The sequence below is a fragment of the Homo sapiens genome, chromosome 8 (genome assembly GCF_000001405.40).
Source record: "Homo sapiens chromosome 8, GRCh38.p14 Primary Assembly".
NCBI lineage: Eukaryota > Metazoa > Chordata > Mammalia > Primates > Hominidae > Homo > Homo sapiens.
Window position 1 is genome coordinate 116,725,415 of NC_000008.11, and position 22,328 is coordinate 116,747,742.

Genomic DNA, 22,328 nt, shown 5'->3' on the forward strand with positions numbered 1-22,328 from the left:
TAAAAAGTTACACAGAAAATGAAACCAGGGATTTCAAACAAGTGAGAAGTTATTTTCAACTTGATTTTTAAAAAATCTTCTAGATGCTGATTTTAGCCTTTGATGTGAGCTTTTAACTACTCTCAGCCTTTGCTAACAAAGGAACTACACCTATAGTACAAAAATAAAATTTCTGAAATGCTTGAGGAGTATCTTCTTTCTGAAGCAGAAAATTGAACTCCATCTCTTTCTAAACACTGACTTATTCAAAAGAGGATAGAAGGGAATGGATAACAGACACATAAGGATGATCTTTGTCCCTCAAAACTTTATTTAGCAAGCTGATTTCATGTTGACAAAGTCAACATCAGCACAGTTCCTATCCAATCTATGACAAATCAGAATCACAAATTCCAAATAAGTAAAGGCCAAACTAATGATGTCTATAGTATAAACCCTCATTTCCCAGAATTTATATAATTTTCCCAAAGTATCAGACATCAAGTGAAGTAGGCTAGCCTGACAGATTCCCAATTCACACATTATCAAAAGTTATGGTGAGACCTGTGTCAATATCCATTTGTATGCACTGCAAAGACACACTTGTGATGAACACCCTTACCTTCATCAAAGTCAGCATCATCCTCTGTGTGCTGAGGGAAAGGAAAGCAGTTGGTAATTTCAAGCCGATCTTCTACAACCAGACCCAAAAGCACTCCTTGAACAACTTCAGTTCCTTGTCCTTCTTCTTGATAATGTTTGATTATCTTTAATACCACCTAAAACATACACACACAGAAGGGAGCTTAACAACCATCCTAGTTTATTATTTCCTTTATTTCTAAGAAAAAACAAAAGAAACTGTACTAGGTTTGCAAAACCACAAATTAAATAAGAGGAATAAATAAATGTCTTACAAATCCTTTCCTTTACCCTTACATAAATAATAAAGCTCACATAATCTAAACGCAGATCTGAAACTCCAGGAGTTTGATTACATGTCAAAAACGTCCATCTACAGCAGTTATGCTCTTAAATCAAAGCTTCCCCATGGTCTGGCATCCAGGAGTTCCTTCAGCCAAATCAAAGAATACCCCCTCAACCTGAGGCTATTATTGAGAAAGTGATCCTGTTAATAGACACATAAATGACAAAACTATCAATAAGACACAGAGATAAAGGTCTCAATTATCGGGACACCTGAAAGCAGAGCCTTCTGATAAATTCTCATTTTGCCTTTCTCAACAGATCATCTCCATAGTCAGAGGATGCAACAACGGGAACACGTACCCACACATATCCAACAACAATCTGGTTGGTATAGTCTCCAGCATGATCTAGTTTTCCTCAACCAGAAGGATTCACTAAGCAACCTCTAATGGAATAACCAGGTCTTCTACTACTCTCTCCTTTAATATTCCCATAAAGATAAGAGGTAACACCGTGCACAGGTGGACAAGAAATTAAAGTCTGCAATAATCATAATCATTAATAATTCCTACAACATGGCGTTAATATATGTAAAGTGTTTTATAGTGCCTGGCACATATTAATAATAATAGCATTAATATTTAATATGAGCCCATGGCCTGAAGACCCAAAAGGCAACACATTCAAAATTGTAATGTAAAGTTCTCAGAGGAAAAATAATTCTAACAAGAAAATGACAATTTATTTGTACGTTATTAGTGTTTCATTTAAAACAAATATATTATTGTTAGAAACGAAGTAATGGGTGGGCCAGGCACACACAGGGTGAGCAGCTACTTCTGTGTGCAGCCTGAGCCCACAGGTCAGCTCAGCCACACGGATGGTGAAGAAACAGCCTAAGAGAGAATCAATGCGGTTGTCAGCTAAACCTGCTCCCGCCAAAGTGGAAACGAAGCTAAAAAAAGGCAGCAGGAAAGGATAAATCTTCAGACAAAAAAGTGCAAACAAAGGGAAAAAGGGAGCAAAGGGAAAACAGGCCAAAGTGGCTAACCAGGAAACTAAAGAAATTTACCTGCACAAAACGAAGAAACTAAAACTGAGAAGAGTCCAGCCTCTGATGACGCCAGAGATAAAGAAGCCAAGTTTGACTGATATCATAACACACTGTATCTTATCAGTGGTCCCTATTTCCCATCTTGTACAACCCAGAGGAATACTGTTACCAACTATTTTGTAAACACAGGTTTGTGTGAGATACTGAATTATGGGAGGGTTTGACTGTCCTGAGTGTCAGCTTAACATTCCATAGTTGGGGGGTTAGTTTTTATATCCTGTAATACAAAGCATACTAAATGGCAATATGGAGTTGCAGTCCTGCATTTAATGTCTTGAACATTTTAAATTACTTTCATTCCCACATTATTTTTTAGTAGAATTGTTTCCTAAAGAAAAACACTCTTTGATCATGGCTCTCCCTGTCATAATTCTGTGCACTGTAACATCTTTGGTCGTGGTAGTCCTGCTTTTCTAATGAACTTTGTTAATGTGCTGTGGAAGATTGAAAATTTGAGTATGTAGTCTATATGGTATTATACTGTGAATTGGTGAGATCTATGTAACAGCTTACTAACATGTGAAGATACTGGTACTTGATAGCCTCTTATGGAAAATTTGCTTCCCAATTTTAAGCTGGAAAGTCACTGAAATAACTTTTTAAAAATTACAACACATGGCTTTTTAGATTTTCAGTATATATGTTAAGAATTGTGTACAAATTGAAATGTCTGTGTACTGATCATCAACACGACCAATAAACCAATTATGAAAGAAAAAAAGAAACTAATGACCAGTTAATAACAGCACATTACATTTACTAAACATTGTATGACAGGCAATAATCTAATTATTTCACATGTATTACCCTATCATGTAATTCTCACAACCACCTTAGGAGAAAGGTACTGTTAATACTCATTTTATAGATAAGAAAACTGAGGCAGAGAGAAATTAAGTAAATGGCTAAAGGTCACACATCTAGGAAGTAGTAGAGCCAAGATTTAAACCTAGTTTAAACCTAGTTTTAGGTTTAAAAGTAGGTTTTTAAACCTAGTTTTTAAACCTGGGAGATGATTTTCATATTAGTAACTAAATTGATAGTTAAAATAACCAGGTAGTAATAGACAACAGATATGCAGTAAAAACTGTGTTATGAATAGACCCAAAAAGACTACACCAGTAAGATACAGAACTCCAAAGGAGAGCAAGCAGTCAGCAGGGAAAAGAGCTCAAAATGGAGTAACACCAACTAATAAGATTGGCAGACCTTCAATACTACGAAATGAAAGTGCACAACCTACACATTCCTGTATGAAAGACCTCTCCACTTCTTGAAAGGCACAAAAATGGACTTGATGAGTCATACAAGTATGGGTATGAGTTCCAGCTCCAGCATTTACTAGCTGTGACCTTGAGAAAGCTATTTAATCTTCTCAAGCCTTAGATTCTAATTTGCAAAATAGCACTATTTCATAGCATTACTGACACTACTAAAAATGACACAGTATAGAGTTCTCTGCACAGAGTCTGCCACATAGTAAGTGCTCAATAAATGACCAATATTGTTGATATTTGTCAATAACTATTTAATGCTTATTCAACATACCTCTCTGCCAAGAAAAATTATTTCTACACTTAAAAAATAGAACAAATACAGGTGATCAAGACGGGATAAACTAAACTGATAAAGAGTTATTACAAACACAACTACCAATTCACCTAGGTTACCTAGATTCCTTTATACTTACCCCTACTAATGAGATTGCTAAACCACTACTGAAATCAAAGTAAACAAGAGATATTAGAAGATATATGAGCTTAACATAGTTCTTCAGACAAATTCTAGAAGTGATTCCTAAACAGCTGATTCCTACATATGCAAAAGGGAATACTGGTGACTAGGACCAGCACAGTTTCATAAAGAAGCCAGATGAAAATAACCTCATTTCCAGTTATGAAGAAAATAGCAATAAAAAAATTAATATATTTTAAAACAAGTTATTACAGTTCAAACTATATTGAAAACTGTCTTAACTCTAACAAAAGTGAATTCTAAAGGGATCAGTAAGGATAATGTAACCAAACAGCACACCAGGCTTGACATGCTTGCCAAACAGCCAATGCAATTTTATGTAGTATCAATAGAATACAGCGCTCCAAGTAAAAGAAATAATTATCTCGCTCTTTCGACATCACTGAACTGTTATCCTCAGTTCTTTACAATGACCCAAGAGAAAATTTACCAGTAACAGTACCAAACTAAGAAATGAGAAAAGCACAAAAAACAATCAGTATGAGTAAGAATCCACAGAAAAGGGTAATTACAAGAGAGAAAGCTTAAAATCCTGTGATGAGAACCAGTAAAATTAATGCAAATCTCTCTCTAGGCAAGGGACACTCAAAAAAAGCACTTTCCAAATACTGAAGAGTTCTTTGGCTGCTTAGAGGATTAGTCTTACTTTGAAGGCAAAACCTAAGAACCACAGGTGACAGTTTCTGGAAAGAAGATTTCAACTCTAAGGATAAATTCTCTCTAGTACTGAAGGCTGTCCAAAAAAGAAAGCATTCAGGAAAGACTCAATCACTAAAATAATTTCCAACTTTAATATTTATGATCTTGTCATTTTAATATAATCTGATAAAGTACTCAGGAAAAAATCACTATTATCAAAACTAAGCTAGCTCATTCTTCATTGTGACATTTTATGATCGTCCTATTTCCTACATACACACTAAAACCTCAGTTCTTTAGTTCAAGAAGTAATGTCATGGAAATGCCTTACAGTAGGATTCATTTGGAGCAGGGGTTCCCAACCCCAAGGCCACGGACAGGTACTGCTCGGGAACTGCTCTGTGGCCTGATAGCAACCTGGCTGCACAGCAGGAGGTAAACTGCCTAAGCTCTGTCTCCTGTCAGGTGACCAGTGGCACTGATTCTCATAGGAGCACAAACCTTTACTGTGAACTGCACATACAAGGGAGCTAGGTTGCATGCTCCTTTGAAGAATCTAATGCCTGACAATCTGAAGTGGAACAGTGTCATCCAGAAACCATCCTCTCACATCCCCGCAACCCCCCACGTGGAAAAACTGTCTTTCACGAAACCAGTCCCTGGTGCCAGAAAGGTTGCAGACACTGATTTAAATGTTAAAAGGAAAGGAAATTCCTGATTAAATATAACTAAATGACATACATACTTCTGCTATTCTACATAGATAACCAAGAATTTGCCATGTATATATATTTCAAAGTTTCATAGATTCGAAGTATCTTTTAATAGAGACAGAATCCATGTTGTGCTCATTGTTTCCCCTCGTGAATGTTCCCATAAAAATGAAAGGATGATTTACTCACCACATCTTCAACACCTAACACAGATACTGGCACATAAAAGATACTCAAAATATATTTTGCTGAAGGAATGAATGGCAAACACTTATCACTTATGATATGTCAAGCACTCCACCGTCTTACGTGCAAGGACTCATTTAATCCTTACAACCACCCTGTGAAGTCAGTTATATTATTTTCCCATTTTACATAAGGAAACAAAGATAAGCTGACAGGGAATTTAGCCAGGGAAGTGAGATCTGACTTCTGAGTCCAAAGCACTTCTAATTACTTCACAATAAATGAGTGATACCAAACTGAGTGCACCAAATATGTTGATAACAGCAAGGCTGAAAAAGACACATGGAAAGCTTAACCATTCTTCAAAACAAAAACACTCTCCTGTTATATTTTGCTTATATGTATCACAAATGACCCCACATTTGTGATACATATACACTCAGGAGCCCTATTTACTCATTCCCAGCTGAGCAAAATCACCTAAAGAGCTTTTTTTAGATAAATGAAGAGGGGTCCTCATTCTGGATACACATTAGAGCCATCTGGGGAGCTTTAAAGTATACTAATGCGTGAGCACACTCCTGAAATTCAGCTAACTGATACCGGCTGGGTTCCTATACTGGGTTTGGTAGGTGGTGTCTGTTTTTAGTTCTCCAACTTACTCTAACATCCTATTTAGTTCTAATTTCTAATGAAGTTGTATGGCCTAGCTTTCCTTTGTTTTTGTTTTGTTGTAACTCCTCAGGTGACTACAATACACTGCTGGTCAAACCCCAATTTCCTTTCCTCTGTTTTAAGACTTCGTGGGTTGCTGAAAAGTGAAGGCACTGAGAAATACAGACCCAAAAGTGAACATGTTGTTTATAAAAGCATAAATATCACCCTAATAAGAGGAATTCAAGCCCTAGTTGGAACAATCTCTACAGCATATAAACAAGAGGGAAGGTAATACCAGCAACCCATCTTGAAACATTCATGTTTTCTGCAGCACAGTAAGACTTACACCTTAGCATCTGACCCCGTTATCTAAGACTGTTAAGAACCGATGCTGACTAGATTTGTTTACCCTATAAATTAGTGGGTAAATGAGGATTCTTCCATGAATTATGCCTCAAGGGACAGAAGCAAACTTGCCAGTAGAAACCCAACTTAGCAAATTCTTCTACACCTTCTGAAACTTTGTCATGTTCTGGGTGTAAATGCTTAAACTACTCTATGTGCCCTAAACAGTAAGTATTGTTCTCTGATTAGGTCAGTTGTCTCTCAAACTGTTTCCCAGATTTCTGAAGTTTACACAGTCTCAAGTTGGGCAGATCTTCAAGGAATCCCAACCTGCAAGATAGTAAACAGATGTCCTGTCTGCTGAAATTACCCTGCAGGGAACAGTTTTCTACTATTGTTCATTATTCAGTGCAAACTATTTGAAAAAGCAAAGCAGACTATACGCCATCTCTAATGAACACAATGCTACTTTTTAAAGTGTCTGGCTTTAAAAAAAAAAAATTAAAACCTATCTTTGCCCAAAAATCTAAAAGCAAGAACGGATTTAACTTCTATGACAAGTATTCTCTGTATTATAGGGTAAAATATAAATACCAATCTAAAATAGCCAAATAAATAACATTATAAGTCAATAAATCTAAAATTTAGAAGAGTTAAGGATGGCAGGTAAAATCTCTCATCCTTCCTAAAGGGAAAGATTTAACAGAATCTCTAAGACCTCCCTATCAAAATCATATCAAAGACTCAGTTCCATGACAGGGAACAGTTCAAATTTGACCAAAATAAATATTAAAGCTTTCTGATGAACTAGAATAATTTCCTATCAAACATAATGTCTGCATAGACCAGTAACTACAGAAAGATTTGAAATCTTTCTGCATAGAATCACTAGGCTTCTGTTATTTTGACTTCTTTCATTCCCTCATTCATTCATTCATTCATTCATTCACTTAGATATTTACTGAGTGACTTTTCAGATCAGTCACCTCTGCCAGGCCCTGGGAATATGAAACTAAATCAAACACATAGGTCTTACTTTCATGGGGCTCATATTTTTAGAACAGCAAGTCTCAAACACACTGTTTCTCTTTATTCTCACACAACACTGCTGACACCAGATGTGTGGGTTCTTTCTATACCACGTAATTCTTCAATTCGCCCAACACCAGCTGGGTATCTTACAATTTAATTCAATTTTTGACACTATCTTCCTGGAGTTAGTGTCAGATTCCCAAAGTTAAGGACACAGTCCTACAAGACTGCCCTCACTTCAGATGCCAATCCCAAATCCAGGCCTCCAGTACTTCTGACCAACCAGTTATAAATCAGGAGTTCCCACAAAACCCTCCTCAGATTCAGTAATTTGCTAGAATGACTCACAGAATCCAGAGAAACACTTTACTTACATTTATCACTTTATTATAAAGGACATGACAAAGGACACAAATGAAAAGCCAGATGAAGAGATGCACAGGAGAAAGTATTGGAGGTTAGGGGGCAGAGCTTCTCTGGGCCTGCATCCTCCCAGCTCCTCCAAGTGTTTGGAAACCCAAAAGCTCATCAAATCTTGCACAAGAGTTTTTACAGAGCTTAACGGAGCTTCATCTCCAGCCCACCTACCCTCTTTCCCAGAGGTCAGTGGGGCTGAAGGTTCCAACCTTCTAATCACTTGCTCTTTTGGGTGACCTGCTCCATCCTGAGGGGCCTGACCTAAATCACCTCATTAGCATTAACTCAGGTGTGATCAAAGAAAAAGCATTATGAATAAAAGACAGTCCTATCACTCAGGAAATCCTAAAGGTTTGGGGAACAGTGTGACAGAAACCAAGAACAAAGACTAAAGATATTTCATGTATTTCAAGGCCCTTTAAAATTTAAAAAAAAAACAAACTCTTAAAAAATTTTAAAAATCCCTAAAATTTTCATGGACCCCCAAAAATCTTATACATTGATATCTGCATATCAGAAATTCAAACCAAGAAATGTCTGAAATATTTATTTCTCTTAAAAATAACCTCTATTGCAAGCTTTGAAAAAAATTAAAAATAAATGCATTACATGCTAATATAAACTATGTTTTAATGAAAAATATTTTATAAAACAAGGTAATTTTATCAGAATATTAGAATGACAATGTTTCACATTTTTGTAAAAAATCTACATTTTCAAAAAAAATTTAATCCAGGAGAGGAGAAACATAGTTTTACATTTTTGTAAATCTTTTTAATATCTGGTTTAATAGAAAACAGATGGATAATCGTATCTGTTCTTGCAGTCAATCCTTTATGATATCACACTAATCATGTAGCATCTGGAAACCTCCATTAAACAGTCGTGAAAGAATGAGAGTAAAAATGGCAAATTATGTATTATTATGAAAATAAGTTTTGACCTTGGAGACTCTCTAAAAGGGTGTCCAAGATCCTCACACTTTAGGAGCCACTATTCTAGAATGACAATTAGGAAAATTAATGTGATTACAGATTGCGGAAATTGCTAAGAAAAGGGGAAATGTAACAAGGAGGGGCAGGGAAGCAGCCTTACCTTAGGGGGATCCAGGAAGGGCTTCTGAGAGGATACCTGACCAGAGAACTGAAGAACAAGCCATCAGCCCTATGAAAACTTGGGAGAAGAGAATACTTGACGACTATGGATTTTTAATCTTTTAATAAAAATGCTAATATTTACATTTCATAAATCACACAAGTTGTATTTTAGGGGAAGAAAAAGGCCTCTAGATGGATAAGCACTAGGGTGGGAGTGATACACGTTCACGTTTTTACTAAAAGAACTGGTAGATAAATAATAACCCCACCTACTGGCAGAAAGTTGTTTGTTTTTGAGACAGGATCTCGCTCTGTCACACAGGCTGGAGTGCAGTGGCATGATCCCAACTCACTGCAACCTCTGCCTCCCAGGTTCAAGTGATTCTCCTGCCTCAGCCTCCCTAGTAGCTGGAATTACAGGTGCACGCCACCACACCCGGCTAAGTTTGTTCTGTATTTCTAGTGGAGACAGGGTTTCACCATGTTGGCCAGGCTGGTCTCACACTCCTGGCCTCAAGTGATCTACCCACCCGGGGCCTCCAAAAGTGCTAGGATTACAGGCGTGAGCCACCATGCCAAGCAGGAACAGTTATATCTTAAAATAACATTAAGTAATTCAAAACTACCAATTTCATTTATTTTTTGTTAATGAATTATAAAACACAATATACTAGTAAAATCCTTTCAGGAAAAGTTACCATAGCTTTTAATTAGCAATATGCGTATTCCTAATGCCAGGGTCAGGGTCAATCTTTACCTAGTAGGCATGTCTATGAAGCTAACACCAGAATTCCTCCAATATAGGTTGCAACTCCAATAAAGTTCAGAGGTAAAAAGAAAACTATTCAAGAAACACATTGGACTTTCAGGACCTGCAAGTTAATGCAGCCATGCCCCAAAATACATCAGACATAGACATAATCTGCAAAACCTAGGAGCTAAGTAATAATCCAATCTCTGTTCTTGGGTCAGGATATGGAGTTTTGAACTTGGCTGAGCCACGAAAGTAGAAACTGAGACCTTTCTAAAAAGCTTCAACTCTATGAAAATTGCTAGTGCGAAAGCAGAAAACAGTAACTACAGTATCTTATAAGCTAAACATAAACGCACCAAATGACTATACCTAGTCCCAGGAATCTACCCAAGAGAAATAAAAACATCCACACAAAGACATGTCTACAAATGTTCATGGTAGCATTATTCATAACAGCTAAAAACCGGAATCAACCCAAACCACCAAATGCAGATGAATAAACTGCAGCACAGGTTGAGTATCCCTTATCCAAAATGCTTGGGACGACAAGTGTTTTAGAGTTTGGAATAGTTGCATTTTCAACCCTATCTTTACGCCACAGAGCAGAGAATAAGCCAAAACACCACCACCACCACCACATAATGAGTAATGCAAATAGGTCGTCTTGGCCCCATGTGGATCATCGTGGGGAATCTGCTGTTGATGTATCAAGCCCCCACTTTATTACGCTCTGCAGGTATGCTTGCAGGAGGCGATTTGGGCATGCAGAAAAAAAAAAAAAACGTAACACAGCTAAAGGAGGCTGGGAGGGTCTTTTTTCCCTTGGAGACCCCGAATAAACTGTGTGGTGTGCAACTGTGTTTTGACAACAATCCATCACATGAAGTCAGGTGTGGAATTTTCCAATGTGGCATCATATCAGCGCTGAAAAAGCTTCACATTTTGGAACTTTTCAAATTCTGGATTTTGCAATTAGGGATGTTCAACCTGTATATCTATTCTATGGAATTATACTCAACAATAAAAAGGTAAAATACCAATAGACAAAACAAGGAGAAATCTCAAAAACATGCAAAGTGAAAGAAGTTAAACAAAATGTTATGTATGACACATATGATTTCATTTATATGAAATTCTAGAAAAGGCAAAACAATAGTAACAGGAAGCTGATAGATAAGTGGTTGCCTAGGGCCAAGGTGAGAAGGCAAATACTGACTGCAGAAGGATACCAGGAAACTCTCCAAGTGGGGAAACTATTCTATTAATACATCTTGATTGTGGTAGCAGTTAAACAATTGTTTATAGTTACTAAAGTTCATCCAACTGTGCATTTAAAATGAGTGGAATTGCCAGGCGCGGTGGCTCACACCTGTAATCCCAGCACTTCAGGAGGCTGAGGCCAGCGGATCACGGGGTCAGGAGATTGAGACCATCCTGACTAACACGGTGAAACCCCACCTCTACTAAAAATACAAAAAAATTAGCTGGGCGTGGTGGCACGCGCCTATAGTTCCAGCTACTTGGGAGGCTGAGGCAGGGGAACCGTTTCAACCGGGGAGGCAGAGTTTGCAGGGAGCCGAGATCGCGCCTTTGCACTCCAGCCTGGGCGACAGAGCAAGACTCCGTCTCACAAAAAAAAAAGGTGGAATTTATTTTGTATAAATACCTTAACTGAACAAAACTGTACACACTTTAAAAGTCTGATGAAGAAACAATTCATACATGCGCTGACTCCCAATTTTACTCTCAATTTCAGAGTTCAAAGGTCCCCTGAGATGCTATAATACCCAAAGAGCTAAGAACCACAACTATAACCCTACCTATTATGTATAATATAAAATAAATATCTATTGACTCATGTTTTTAATAAACCTAGGTCACCAAAAATAAATTAAATTGTATTATTGTTGAAGACAAAGTATACTGCTTAGAATTTTGCTGTTTACAGTATTTTGGAATTTAATGAGATTATTTAGACAACAGATAATTTGTTCCTAGAAAAGCCTGTTTACGTAAAACAAATTCAAAGAAATTGGAAAATGTTAAAATATTTACCATCTCCCTGCCCAAAAAGACATGATTTTTTTAAAAATTCACACTACCCAATATTCTATATCAAAAAGCATACTTCTCAAAGTGTGCAAGCCCTAAAAACAAACATTCAAACCTGAAGGACAGGTAGGCATTTGAAAAGATCTACGAACCTCTTAAAATCATCAGCAATATTTTCTATCTACGTACTTGAAGGCATTTCCCTGGGGAAGAAAAAAAAAAGACTTTGTCATTCTTCAAATTCCCAAAAAAGCCCATAACCCAAAAATAAAGTTTTAAAAATTAATAGGGCTGGGCGCAGTGGCTTGTGCCTGTAATCCCAGCACTCTGGGAGGCTGAGGCAGACCGATTACCTGAGGTCAGGAGTTCGAGACCACTCTGGCCAACATGGTGAAACCCATCTCTACTAAAAACACAAAATATTGGCCAGATATGGTGGCTGGCACCTGTAACCCCAGCTACTCGGGAGGCTGAATGCAGGAGAATCACTTGAACCTGGGAGGCGGAGGATGCAGTGAGCTGAGATCCCACCACTGCACTCCAGCCTGGGCAACAGAGTGAGACTCTGTCTCAAAAAAAATAAAAAATAAAAAAATTTTAAAAAAAATTAATAGTAATAAAAACTTATTACCTACATGCAGTTACGTGTTTGAATGAAGAACAATGAGGCCAGGTGCGGGTGGCTCATACCTGTAATCCTAGCACTTTGGGAGGCCCAACTGGGCGGATTGCCTGAGCTCAGGAGTTCGAGACCAGCCTGGGCAACATGGTAAAACCCCATCTCTACTAACATACAAAAAAGTAGCCAGGCCTGGTGGTGTGCAACAGTAGTCCCAGCTACTCTGGAGGCTGAGGCAGGAGAATCGCTTGAACCCAGGAAGCGGAGGTTGCAATGAGCCGAGATCGCACTATTGCACTCCAGCCTGGGCGACACAGCGAGGCTCCATCTCAAAAAAAAAAAAAAAAAAAGAATGGTATGGACGGACATACTTCTTCCTTTATACATCTGCATTTTAGTTATACTAGAATGGAGCATGTGTTTGTTTTTAATTCAAAAAGCATCAAAAAAAACTAAGGAAAAAGATTTTTAAAATACAGCAGTAACTGATTTGCTATGTGGAGTTTCACAAAATAGAACAAACTAACGTTTCATTTTTTCTGACAGTACTACTGAGTTGACAATGATGGACACATAATATATCTTGATTTTAGCAGGTTCCTTTACATTTGTAAAATATGGGCTGAATGAAGCAGTTAAGACTTGAAAGGATGAGAAAAAGAAGCCCACACACTACAAGCCAAAGCATCTGCTGATTTTAAATTCTCATCTCTTGTTAACCTGACTCCTCTTCAACTCTGTGAATATCACTGCACACATATATACAAATTGCCAGAAAATATGCACATATACACACACCATCAACATAAAGAGGTAACTAACGTCTGGCCTGGTTTTCAACAAGCAGAAAGGCCGTTTAAGAGAAGCCTAACTTATGCTTCAACAATTGAACAATTTGTTCAAACTTACTACAATAAACCTTCACCAGGAAAAGCAGGTTTCCCATCATCTTTGTAACAGACACAATAAGGATCTGCTGAAAAGCCCTGCTAAAATAATTAGGGACGGAAGTAATTTTAAACTGTTAGAACCATACCACCTATCATTTTTAAGCCTGCTTTATAAAGCTGAGCTACGGAATGCCGAGGTTACAACCTGTTCATCTTTTTAAACATTTCACAGTATTAAAAAACACTGAATTATTAAAATGTTTTACCACTAAAACTAACTTAAAAGTTAAGTAAATCTAATGTAATGGTATTTAGTGATCACAATACTATTTTAAATACAGTTCAATTAAATTATTAAATTATTACTCTTGTTGGGAACAGGCCCCAAAATCCGGCCATAAAGTGGCCCCAAAACTGGCAATAAACAAAACCTCTGCAGCACTGTGACATGCTCCTGATGGCCTTGACACCCACACTGGAAGGCAGTCAGTTTACTGGAATAAGAGCAAGGAACACCTGGACCACCCAGGGCAGAAAACCGCTTAAAGGTGTTCTCAAACCACAAACAACAGCATGAGCGATCCGTGCCTTAAGGACATGTTCCTGCTTCTTAAGGACATGCTCAAGTCTTAACTAGCTTCTGCTGCAGATAACTAGCCAGACCCATCCCTTTATTTAGGCCCATCCCTTTATTTCCCGTAAGGAATACTTTCAGTTAATCTATAACCTACAGAAACAATGCTTATCACTGGCTTGCTGTCAATAAATATGTGGCGGCCGGGCGCCATGGCTCACGCCTGTAATCCCAGCACTTTTGGAGGCCGCGGCGGGCAGATCACGAGGTCAGGAGATCGAGACCATCCTGGCTAAAACGGTGAAACCCCATCTCTACTAAACATACAAAAAATTAGCCGGGCGTGGTGATGGGCGCCTGCAGTCCCAGCTACTCGGGAGGCTGAGGCAGGAGAATGGTGTGAACCTGGGAGGCGGAGCTTGCAGTGAGCCGAGATGGTGCCACTGCACTCCAGCCTGGGCAACAGAGCGAGACTCCGTCTCAGAAAAATAAATAAATCAATCAATAAATATGTGGGTAAATCTCTGTTGGAGACTCTCAGCTCTGAAGGCTGTGAGACCCCTGATTTCCCACTCCACACTCCATGTTTCTCTGTGTGTGTCTTTAATTCCTCTAGCGCCGCTGGGTTAGGGTCTCCCCGACTGAGCTGGTCTCGGCAACTCTGGTTACAGGAAGATGCCATTAGCCAAAATAGACATGAAAATAGTTTACAGCAATGCTTCTCAGGTTATCAGTGGTAAAGAACCCATTTTCCCCCAATCTATCACAGACCAACACTTTAGTAAAATACAATAAAAATTACTCACTAGAAAGATGAAAATAAAACACACACACACACAAAGCCCAGGGATATCACTTGGATATCACAGCAGTGTCAAACTACTATAATAAAAGTTTCTAAACACTCTATCTTAACCCTGTGTTTATACTGTGCAGACCAGTGTTCCCAAACCATACCTCATACTTTGAATAGCACTGGTTTACAGAATCAGTAACATTAAGCACGTAAACAGTTATTTCCCAACTCCCAAAACTGAGCATTTAGACTACAGAAGCAAACACTTCTTAATTTATGTCACGAAGTCTCTCAAAATACGTGACCACAATAGACATGAGCTCCAAACTGTGTAGCTACCAAGCACTTATGTAACTGTAAGCCCAGTGGCATAAGACTGTGGCAGTAGTTGAGAAGAGCAAGAAATGAATAGTTTTCTCTGCCACTCCTTGCTGCTTCTACAGGAGATGACAGGCATACTCCTCCACTGAGGTCAGATCACGACTCCCTTAGCTCTAATTCTATTCTGAACATCGTATTTTTAAGAATGGTAAAAACAAACTTTTTTCAGCAGCAGGGCCCACTTTGAATCACAACTTCTGTAAGACAGTGATTTATTTATTCAGTGAGTAAGCCCAGATGAAACCCCAACATTCAAACCTCTCACTGCTGTCTTCTACTTGTTGTCTAGTACACAGTTATTCTAGAAATCTTTATTTCTTTGCAAAAATGTAATGTTTGAGTAAAAGAAAAAAATTTTAGTAAAAGCTTAAACATGAATTCTTATGAATGTACACACCAATGTGACTAACTCCCCAACCCTGTAGTCTACACAAACAGAAAAATCCTACAGCAGAGTGGTTGAGGGGCTGGGAACCAGAATCCAAAACAAAGTTTGAGTGCCAGCCCTGCGGCCTTAGGCAGGTTACCTTATCTACCCTACCCATACCTTCCTCCTATAAAGACAGTACCAATCTCAAGCACTGTTGCAAAGATTAAAAAATAATCCCACTCAAACTACCTAGCACACAATTACTAGTAAGTCCTCAGTAAATGTTAGCTACTATTATAACAACTATCACAACAAACATTTCACCTCTTCTCTTTTTTCCTTTTTATGTTTTAGAATCATCAAGTCTGATTTCTTTTTTAATTTTTTCTATCTTTTTTTTAGAATTGTCATATTTCACCTATTCTCATTCATTCATCTATCCATCTGTCCATCCAAGGAATATTTAGTGACTAAAATATGCCTAGTTACCCTTATGGCACAGACACTTGTCTCCCCAGAATGTTTTCAGTTCATTCCTCAGAGATTTTTTTTTCAGCCTAATAAGAGGTGAATTATAACTTATTAACCCAACTGATGCCAAACTTCCATTTTCTTTAAGACGCATCAATCAGCTGGACATACTATCTCTCATAACAACCAATACCACAAAGTTTTACAACACGATGTTTTGAATCTGCATTAAAAAGAGTTCAATTAAATTTACTCAAAATATTCTGTATACATATGTGTGTTTATGTGTAATTTTCCCTTAAAACATCATTAAAGACAAAGTACAGTCCACAAGTTTCTTAAAAGTCTGAAATAAAAAAGACAAAGCTCAAACTATACCAGTCACTGCCTAGTTGAAGAAGAGGTCAGGCAGGATGCACAATTCCTACTCGGCTTTATTACAGTTTTGTAGCTTCTGGGAGGTAAGGCCCACAGCCTGAATTTCTCACATCAATCACCGTCAAAGAACAGCTATTACTGTAGAAGATTTTTATTCTCAAAGAAACTGTAATGCTGTAAGATCTCCCTTTAGCATATTCTGCAAAGTCAGTATCTAGACTTTCATTTAATTCTGTAGACTTTCATTTAATTCTGGCTTCTTTCACTGACTGGTCTGTGAACTTGGCAGTTTTCTTATTTGGTTAAGCCTAGATAATTTTTTCTAACACTGAACAAAGATGGTAGTTATTGCCAAAATGTAAATTCAAAAAGCAGAAAGCTGCATTAGTCTTAAATTTAACACATTTTATGGCTCAAGTGGGATAGGGTTCCATTTCATAACTGGCTGAGTCAAATAATAAACGGGATTTAAATCACTGCTGTTAAGTTTGATGTGAAAGAAATTTAAGTAACTTCAATAGGAAAAAAAAAAAAAAGATTTTCTGCTCCTGACACACATGGGATTAGTTACAATGCTCCAATACACTTAATCAATATCAACCTCTATAATATTTCAGTTTGAAAGGGCATATTTCATTGCTATTCTCTTGGATCTAATGCTCACTGATGGTCCACATTTTTAAAGTTAAATCAACTAATAATTGTTGGGAAAAAGAGAAGATAGAGGATTTAGCCTCAAGAAATTCAAAAGAATGGTACTAATCTTATAAAAATTAGTCACATGTAAGTATAATGATGCAATCAAATGTACAAATATATAATCATAATTAAGAATTAACTGATAAGATGTTTAATTTATAAGTTTCTGCTTTACCAATTCAATATATATAACCAACCTGCAAATTTTCCCACATGTACCTGGTTGGTAATTTTTCTAAAATAATATGAGTGATTAAAAAGCTTAGCTGGAACAAAATTCATTTCCTTTCTCATAAAACAAAAAACTTTTCAGAATTGTTAAGATCTACCTTCTAACACATTCTAAGTTTATTACATTCAAGTTTATTAGATTCAGGAGCACTGGCCACTGCTTAAATAGAAGGCAGGACTTTAGGTGATTTGGGGGCACTCTCATTATAATTTGTTTCTGCCTCCTTGCTAAGGTAAGTGCAGAAGGAAACATGTATAAAGCAACTATGATTGCCTCTGGGAAGAGGGTGCTTGGAAGACAGGGATGACAGTGAGAGTTTCTCTTCACTATATACTTTCACTTTGTCTTTGATTTGTGTGCCATATGCATGTATTATCCAGTGTAATGGCTGTGTTTAAACAGGTTTAATAAATTAAAAGGGTTCCCATTTTCCTGTATAAAAAGCGCACCACAGTAAGTCCACAAGGTGGTTATTCATCATCTTTCTAGTCAAGAGGTCCTTTAGAATGAAACCAAAGCTGATGCATTTCTGTGTAAAATGTAAAATGGGAGTTTTCTTCTCTCCAAAAGGAAATACTTTTTATTTTGTTTTAAAGGCTACCAGTAAACCACACTTGAAAACACCATCTACAAGCCCTCGTTTGGAGGATGAAAACAAAAGCTGGCAGGCAAGGCCAGGTGGTGGTGGCTCACACCTGTAATACTAGCGCTTTGGGAGGCCAAGGCAGGGGGATCACCTTAAGGCCAGGAGTTCAAAACCAGCCTGGTCAATATAGAGGCCCCATCTCTACAAAAGAAAAATAAAAAAATTAGCCAGGCAAGGTTGCACACACCTATAGTCCCAGCTACTAGAAGGCTGAGGAGGAGGATCACTCAAGCCCAGGAGTGGGAAGCTGTGGTGAGCCATGACTGCACCACTACACTCCAGCCTGGGCAACAGAGCAAGATCCTGTCTCAAAAAATAATAGGCCAGGCACAGTGGCTCATGCCTATAATCCCAGTACTTTGGGAGGCTGAGGCAGGCGGATCACTTGAGGCCAGGAGTTCAAGACTAGCCTGGTCAACATGGCGAAACCCCATCTCTACTAAAAATACAAAACAAAAACAAAAATTAGCTAGGTGTGGTAACATGCACCCATTATGGTCCCAGCTACTAGGGAGGCTAAGGTGGGAGGATCACTTGAGCCCCAGAGGTGGAGGCTGCAGCGAGCCGAGATCGCACCACTGCACTCCAGCCTGGGCGACAGAGCGATACCCTGTCTCAAAAATACATACATATATATATATATATATATATATATATAAACACACACACACACACACACACACACACACACACACACATATATAAATAAGTTGGGAAATAAAGTTTGATTTTATTTTGTGTGTAATAGTGATTTTCCAAAGGGTTGAGTTTTAGGACTACAGCTGTCCATTGAGAAGATAACTTAGTCAGCAGCACTGTCCAAGTACAAAATAAAGTCTGTAAGACCAGTTATACAGGCTTTGGTGATAGTTGAGAAAGAGTGCAAGAACTGAACAGTACAGACAATGTAGTTATAAATTCAAAGAACTAAGTAAGTGATCTTAGGAAAAACCTCAAGAAATAGTCAAAGACGATACCAGAAGCCTTCATGACTTGGGTAGACAGTGGTTATCACTAATGGACAGGAAATAAAATCAGATGGCGACAGGGAGAGGTGGAAACATAGAAAGTATTAAAAAAAAAAAAAACAAACAGTAAGCCTCAAGATACAATAAACATCTGTGGCACTTAAGTACCACTTTAGGTACTATTTTGGAGGCAAAGAAAATCTTAAAATTTTATGCCAAAATGCAGCTGATGTTTAAAGGGTCAAAGACTCAAAGGATTAAAAATATATATATTTTGACTAAGTTAATACTGAGTTATCACTGTTTTTCCTGAATCCAATTTTTCTCTTATATGCTTGAGCATGGTACCAACATTAACAAGAATATGGCATATTACTCCAGCATATTTAAGCATCCACTTCAGCCCTTTCAGTTTTGATGAAACAAGTACAGTTTGTCATCAAACAGCTAAGTAAATTACACTACACTTTGCTATTAAACCTAATCTTTACTGCATATAGCCATTTTAAAGAATGATCTACCTACCAGTAGTAGTTTACAAAAAACGAAGCCATATTCTCTTTAAGATATTATCTAAAACCTTGCCAAATAAAATAACATCCAAGTACCGTAAATTAAATATTTTACGAAAAACATTATAAACTAATTTTGAAAAGAAAGCAAATGCAACTAAGTTTTCTGTAAGTGCTAAAATTAGGAGCTTTTATCTAAGAAACGACCTATGGTAGACTTGATGAAGTAAAAGAAAATCTAAACACAAAAATAAGAACTTGCAAAGATTCTTTTCAAACTTCATGCTTTGTAGAGGCTTTTTTCTCCAAGGTATGGGCTAGGACTGAGCTGCAAGTCCAGAGCATTGCTGCCAAGACTTAAAATACCTGGAGTTGCTCAGCCAAACCAATGAAGTCCAAGATATTGAACAAAAGATCCAAATTTATCATATACAGAAACCAGTTGAAGCAAAAGGTGACAAGAAGGCAAAAGATAAAAAATGCTTATTGTACACCCACACCTTTTAATGTTAAATAGATATGTGAGGCATTAACCATATAAATCCAGGCCAGATTTGCTGTAACAACTAAAGTTAAAATATTTTGATCATATTCCATTTACTTGGGAAACCATCCAGTTTGGAATCCAACAGTAACTATTACCAACTATTAAAATCAATATCTACTACTAAAAATCATATCAACAATGTAAGAAATTACCCATTCAGGTTCTCTTTATTACAGTAGGAAGGCCATTCACTATCTTCATATCAAACTAAGGCCTAGAGATCATAACTGATTTATTAAGTCATCTCCTCCATGAGAAGTACTGCATATGCTGCCTTAAATAATACCCAAGAAGACAGCTACAAGAAACAAATGATAGATTGTCATCACTAGCATATATGTCACGAACACAGTAAGCACTGTCAAAAAGCAAATGGCAATGAATTTCAATAAGGTGTCTGACCTTAACAGAAAGGACCAATGGCCCAGGATGTTTGCAGGTTTATCCAAATCTTGGGAGGAACATAAAAACGGAAAAGTCTGGCCCAGTGTGGTGTCTCATCCCTATAATCTCAGCACTTTGGGAGGCTGGGGCGGGTGGATTGCTTGAGGCCGGGAGTTCAAGACCAGTCTGGCCAACATGGCAACACCCCGTCTCTACTAAAAATACAAAAATTAGCAGGGCATGGTGGCACACAGCTACTCGGGAGGCTGAGGGGCACGAGAATCGCTTGAACCTAGGAGGTGGAGATCACAGTGAGCCAAGATCGGGCCACTGCACCCCAGCCCGGTCGACAGAGCAAGACTCTGTCTCAAAGGAAAAAAAAAAAAGGAAAAGTCAGATGGACTTAGAATTACCACCCAATGCAGGTAAACTAACTTACTTAGGGACACGTACCAGTACTCTTCCCAATGCTCCTTAATATGCTGATTTTCTTTACTATTGATCCCCAGTATCTTAATATGTGAACTCAGCAGTTTAAGGTTGCATTTTTCCAAACTTCAGAATATTTACTAAATTGACTTCTTATAGCTACAAATCTTCTACAATATGACTGATTATCAAACGTAAAGATTCTAATGTATGTTTTCTCATACATTTTAAAGTTAGAAGTCTGTAAGACACCTGAGTTCTGAAAAACATATTTCCCAATGCTCAAACAAGAAGCACTAGATTAACTATTCTGTACACACCTTAACTTCTATTTCCTCCATCTGTACATTAATCAAATCACATAAACTATTTGTACCCACGTCTCCCCATTGATAAAATAGGGATAATGATGGTTCCTATATCAAAGAGTTGTTGTATTGCTTCAATGCCATAATAAATACACAATACTTAAAACAGTACCTGTCACATAACACAGAATAACTACTGGGGTCTTCAAGTATATGAAGCTGCTATAAAATGTAAAAGAAAATGAGTCAAGGATGGCTAGATGTGATCTGAATTCAAGCTCCAGGATATATTCACTTTATGTCTTTGAAAAGCCACCCAGCTTCTTGGAGTGGGAGAATCACATGTATAATCCAGATAATACTAGTCCGCCCAGTTCCTGGAGCTACCAAGATATAATAATGTACGCTAAATGATTTTTCTATTATAAAAAGTTACTATTTGTAAGCAATAACATCTTACTTGCCTAAGCAAAAAATATAACTAAGCAATCAAAATGTCAGACTGCATAACGAATTTAATCCTCACTCACAAATACTCAGGTTAGAGATAATCCTGCATAACTGGTTTTTCACTCACAGCAAAAAAAAACCTGAAAAGCAAGGGGATAAGAAACAGATAAATTTAACAACCAAAAAAGGCACCAACTAGAAACATAAACCACTCAAGGCACCTAAAGTTCAACAACAGGGGACATTTATTATAGAAATAACAGACTACCCGAAGGGATTTCTTGACAGATCTACTGTCCTGTCTGGTTCAATAACATGTTTTTTTGTTTTTTTGTTTTTTTTGAGACAGAGTCTCTGCCTGTCGTCCAGGTTGGAGTGCAGTGGTGTGATCTCGGCTCACTGCAACCTCTGCCTCCCAGGTTCAAGCAGTTCTCCTGCCTCAGCCTCCTGAGTAACTGGGATTACAGGCATCCGCCATCATGCCCGGCTAATTTCTTTTGTATTTTTAGTAGAGATGGGGTTTCGCCATGTTGGCCAGGTTGGTCTCGAACTCCTGACCTCAGGTGATCCGCCCACCTCAGCCTGCCAAAGTGCTGGGATTACAGGCGGGAGCACGGCCCAATAACATGTTCTTAATGATAATACTATGCCATCAAAACATGGTTAGATTGTGTTCCATGTTCTCTGACTAAAGCAGCAGAAAATTATGTATTACACTTCAGAAACACATATAATTAAAATAGCTAAAATGTGCAAGTTTTGGTGCTTGAAAGGATTTCAAATTATCTGACTGAAAAAATTATCTCACATGTCAAACAACTTACGTATGCACCACTCAAGTCAGAAAACTGGAAGAAGAGGCCAAGGGTCATATAATTTTTTTTGTTGTTAAAACATTAAAAGGCCAAACTGTATTATACTTCAGACCAGGATCTCAGAGAAGAGCTTCCATTTCAATGGAATTTAAACAAGCTGTTGTCCAGTCTCTTTAAATTCATAAGAGT

The 22,328-nt window shown here is 37.7% G+C and overlaps 1 protein-coding gene and 1 long non-coding RNA gene across 9 annotated transcripts in view, besides 2 other annotated features; both read right to left on the minus strand.

The window, feature by feature from the left end:
• EIF3H (eukaryotic translation initiation factor 3 subunit H) overlaps nt 1-22,328 on the minus strand; it is a 124,245-nt gene that overhangs the window by 83,285 nt on the left and 18,632 nt on the right. Inside the window, exon 2 of one of the 8 annotated variants that reach the window (NM_003756.3) lies at nt 602-758. The exons of the other annotated variants lie outside the window; for them this stretch is intronic. Coding sequence (NP_003747.1) covers nt 602-758 — 157 coding nt within the window. The remainder of the gene's footprint in view (nt 1-601; nt 759-22,328) is intronic. 8 annotated transcript variants of the gene reach the window in all.
• Nucleotides 4,642-5,193: an enhancer, noted in NCBI's record as "NANOG hESC enhancer chr8:117742295-117742846 (GRCh37/hg19 assembly coordinates)". NCBI's record gives its function as "activates a minimal SCP1, AML or CMV promoter by ChIP-STARR-seq in primed H9 embryonic stem cells {active_cell/tissue: H9 hESC(primed)}" and the evidence as "EXISTENCE:reporter gene assay evidence [ECO:0000049][PMID:30033119]".
• Nucleotides 4,753-4,802: an enhancer, noted in NCBI's record as "active region_27829". NCBI's record gives its function as "activates an Ori minimal core promoter by ATAC-STARR-seq in GM12878 lymphoblastoid cells {active_cell/tissue: GM12878}" and the evidence as "EXISTENCE:reporter gene assay evidence [ECO:0000049][PMID:35858748]".
• On the minus strand, nt 7,716-21,712 carry LOC124902006 (uncharacterized). Its single transcript, XR_007061066.1, has 2 exons — nt 11,823-21,712; nt 7,716-8,940 (listed from the first exon to the last, which is right to left on the minus strand). It is a non-coding gene; the product is annotated as an uncharacterized LOC124902006 (long non-coding RNA).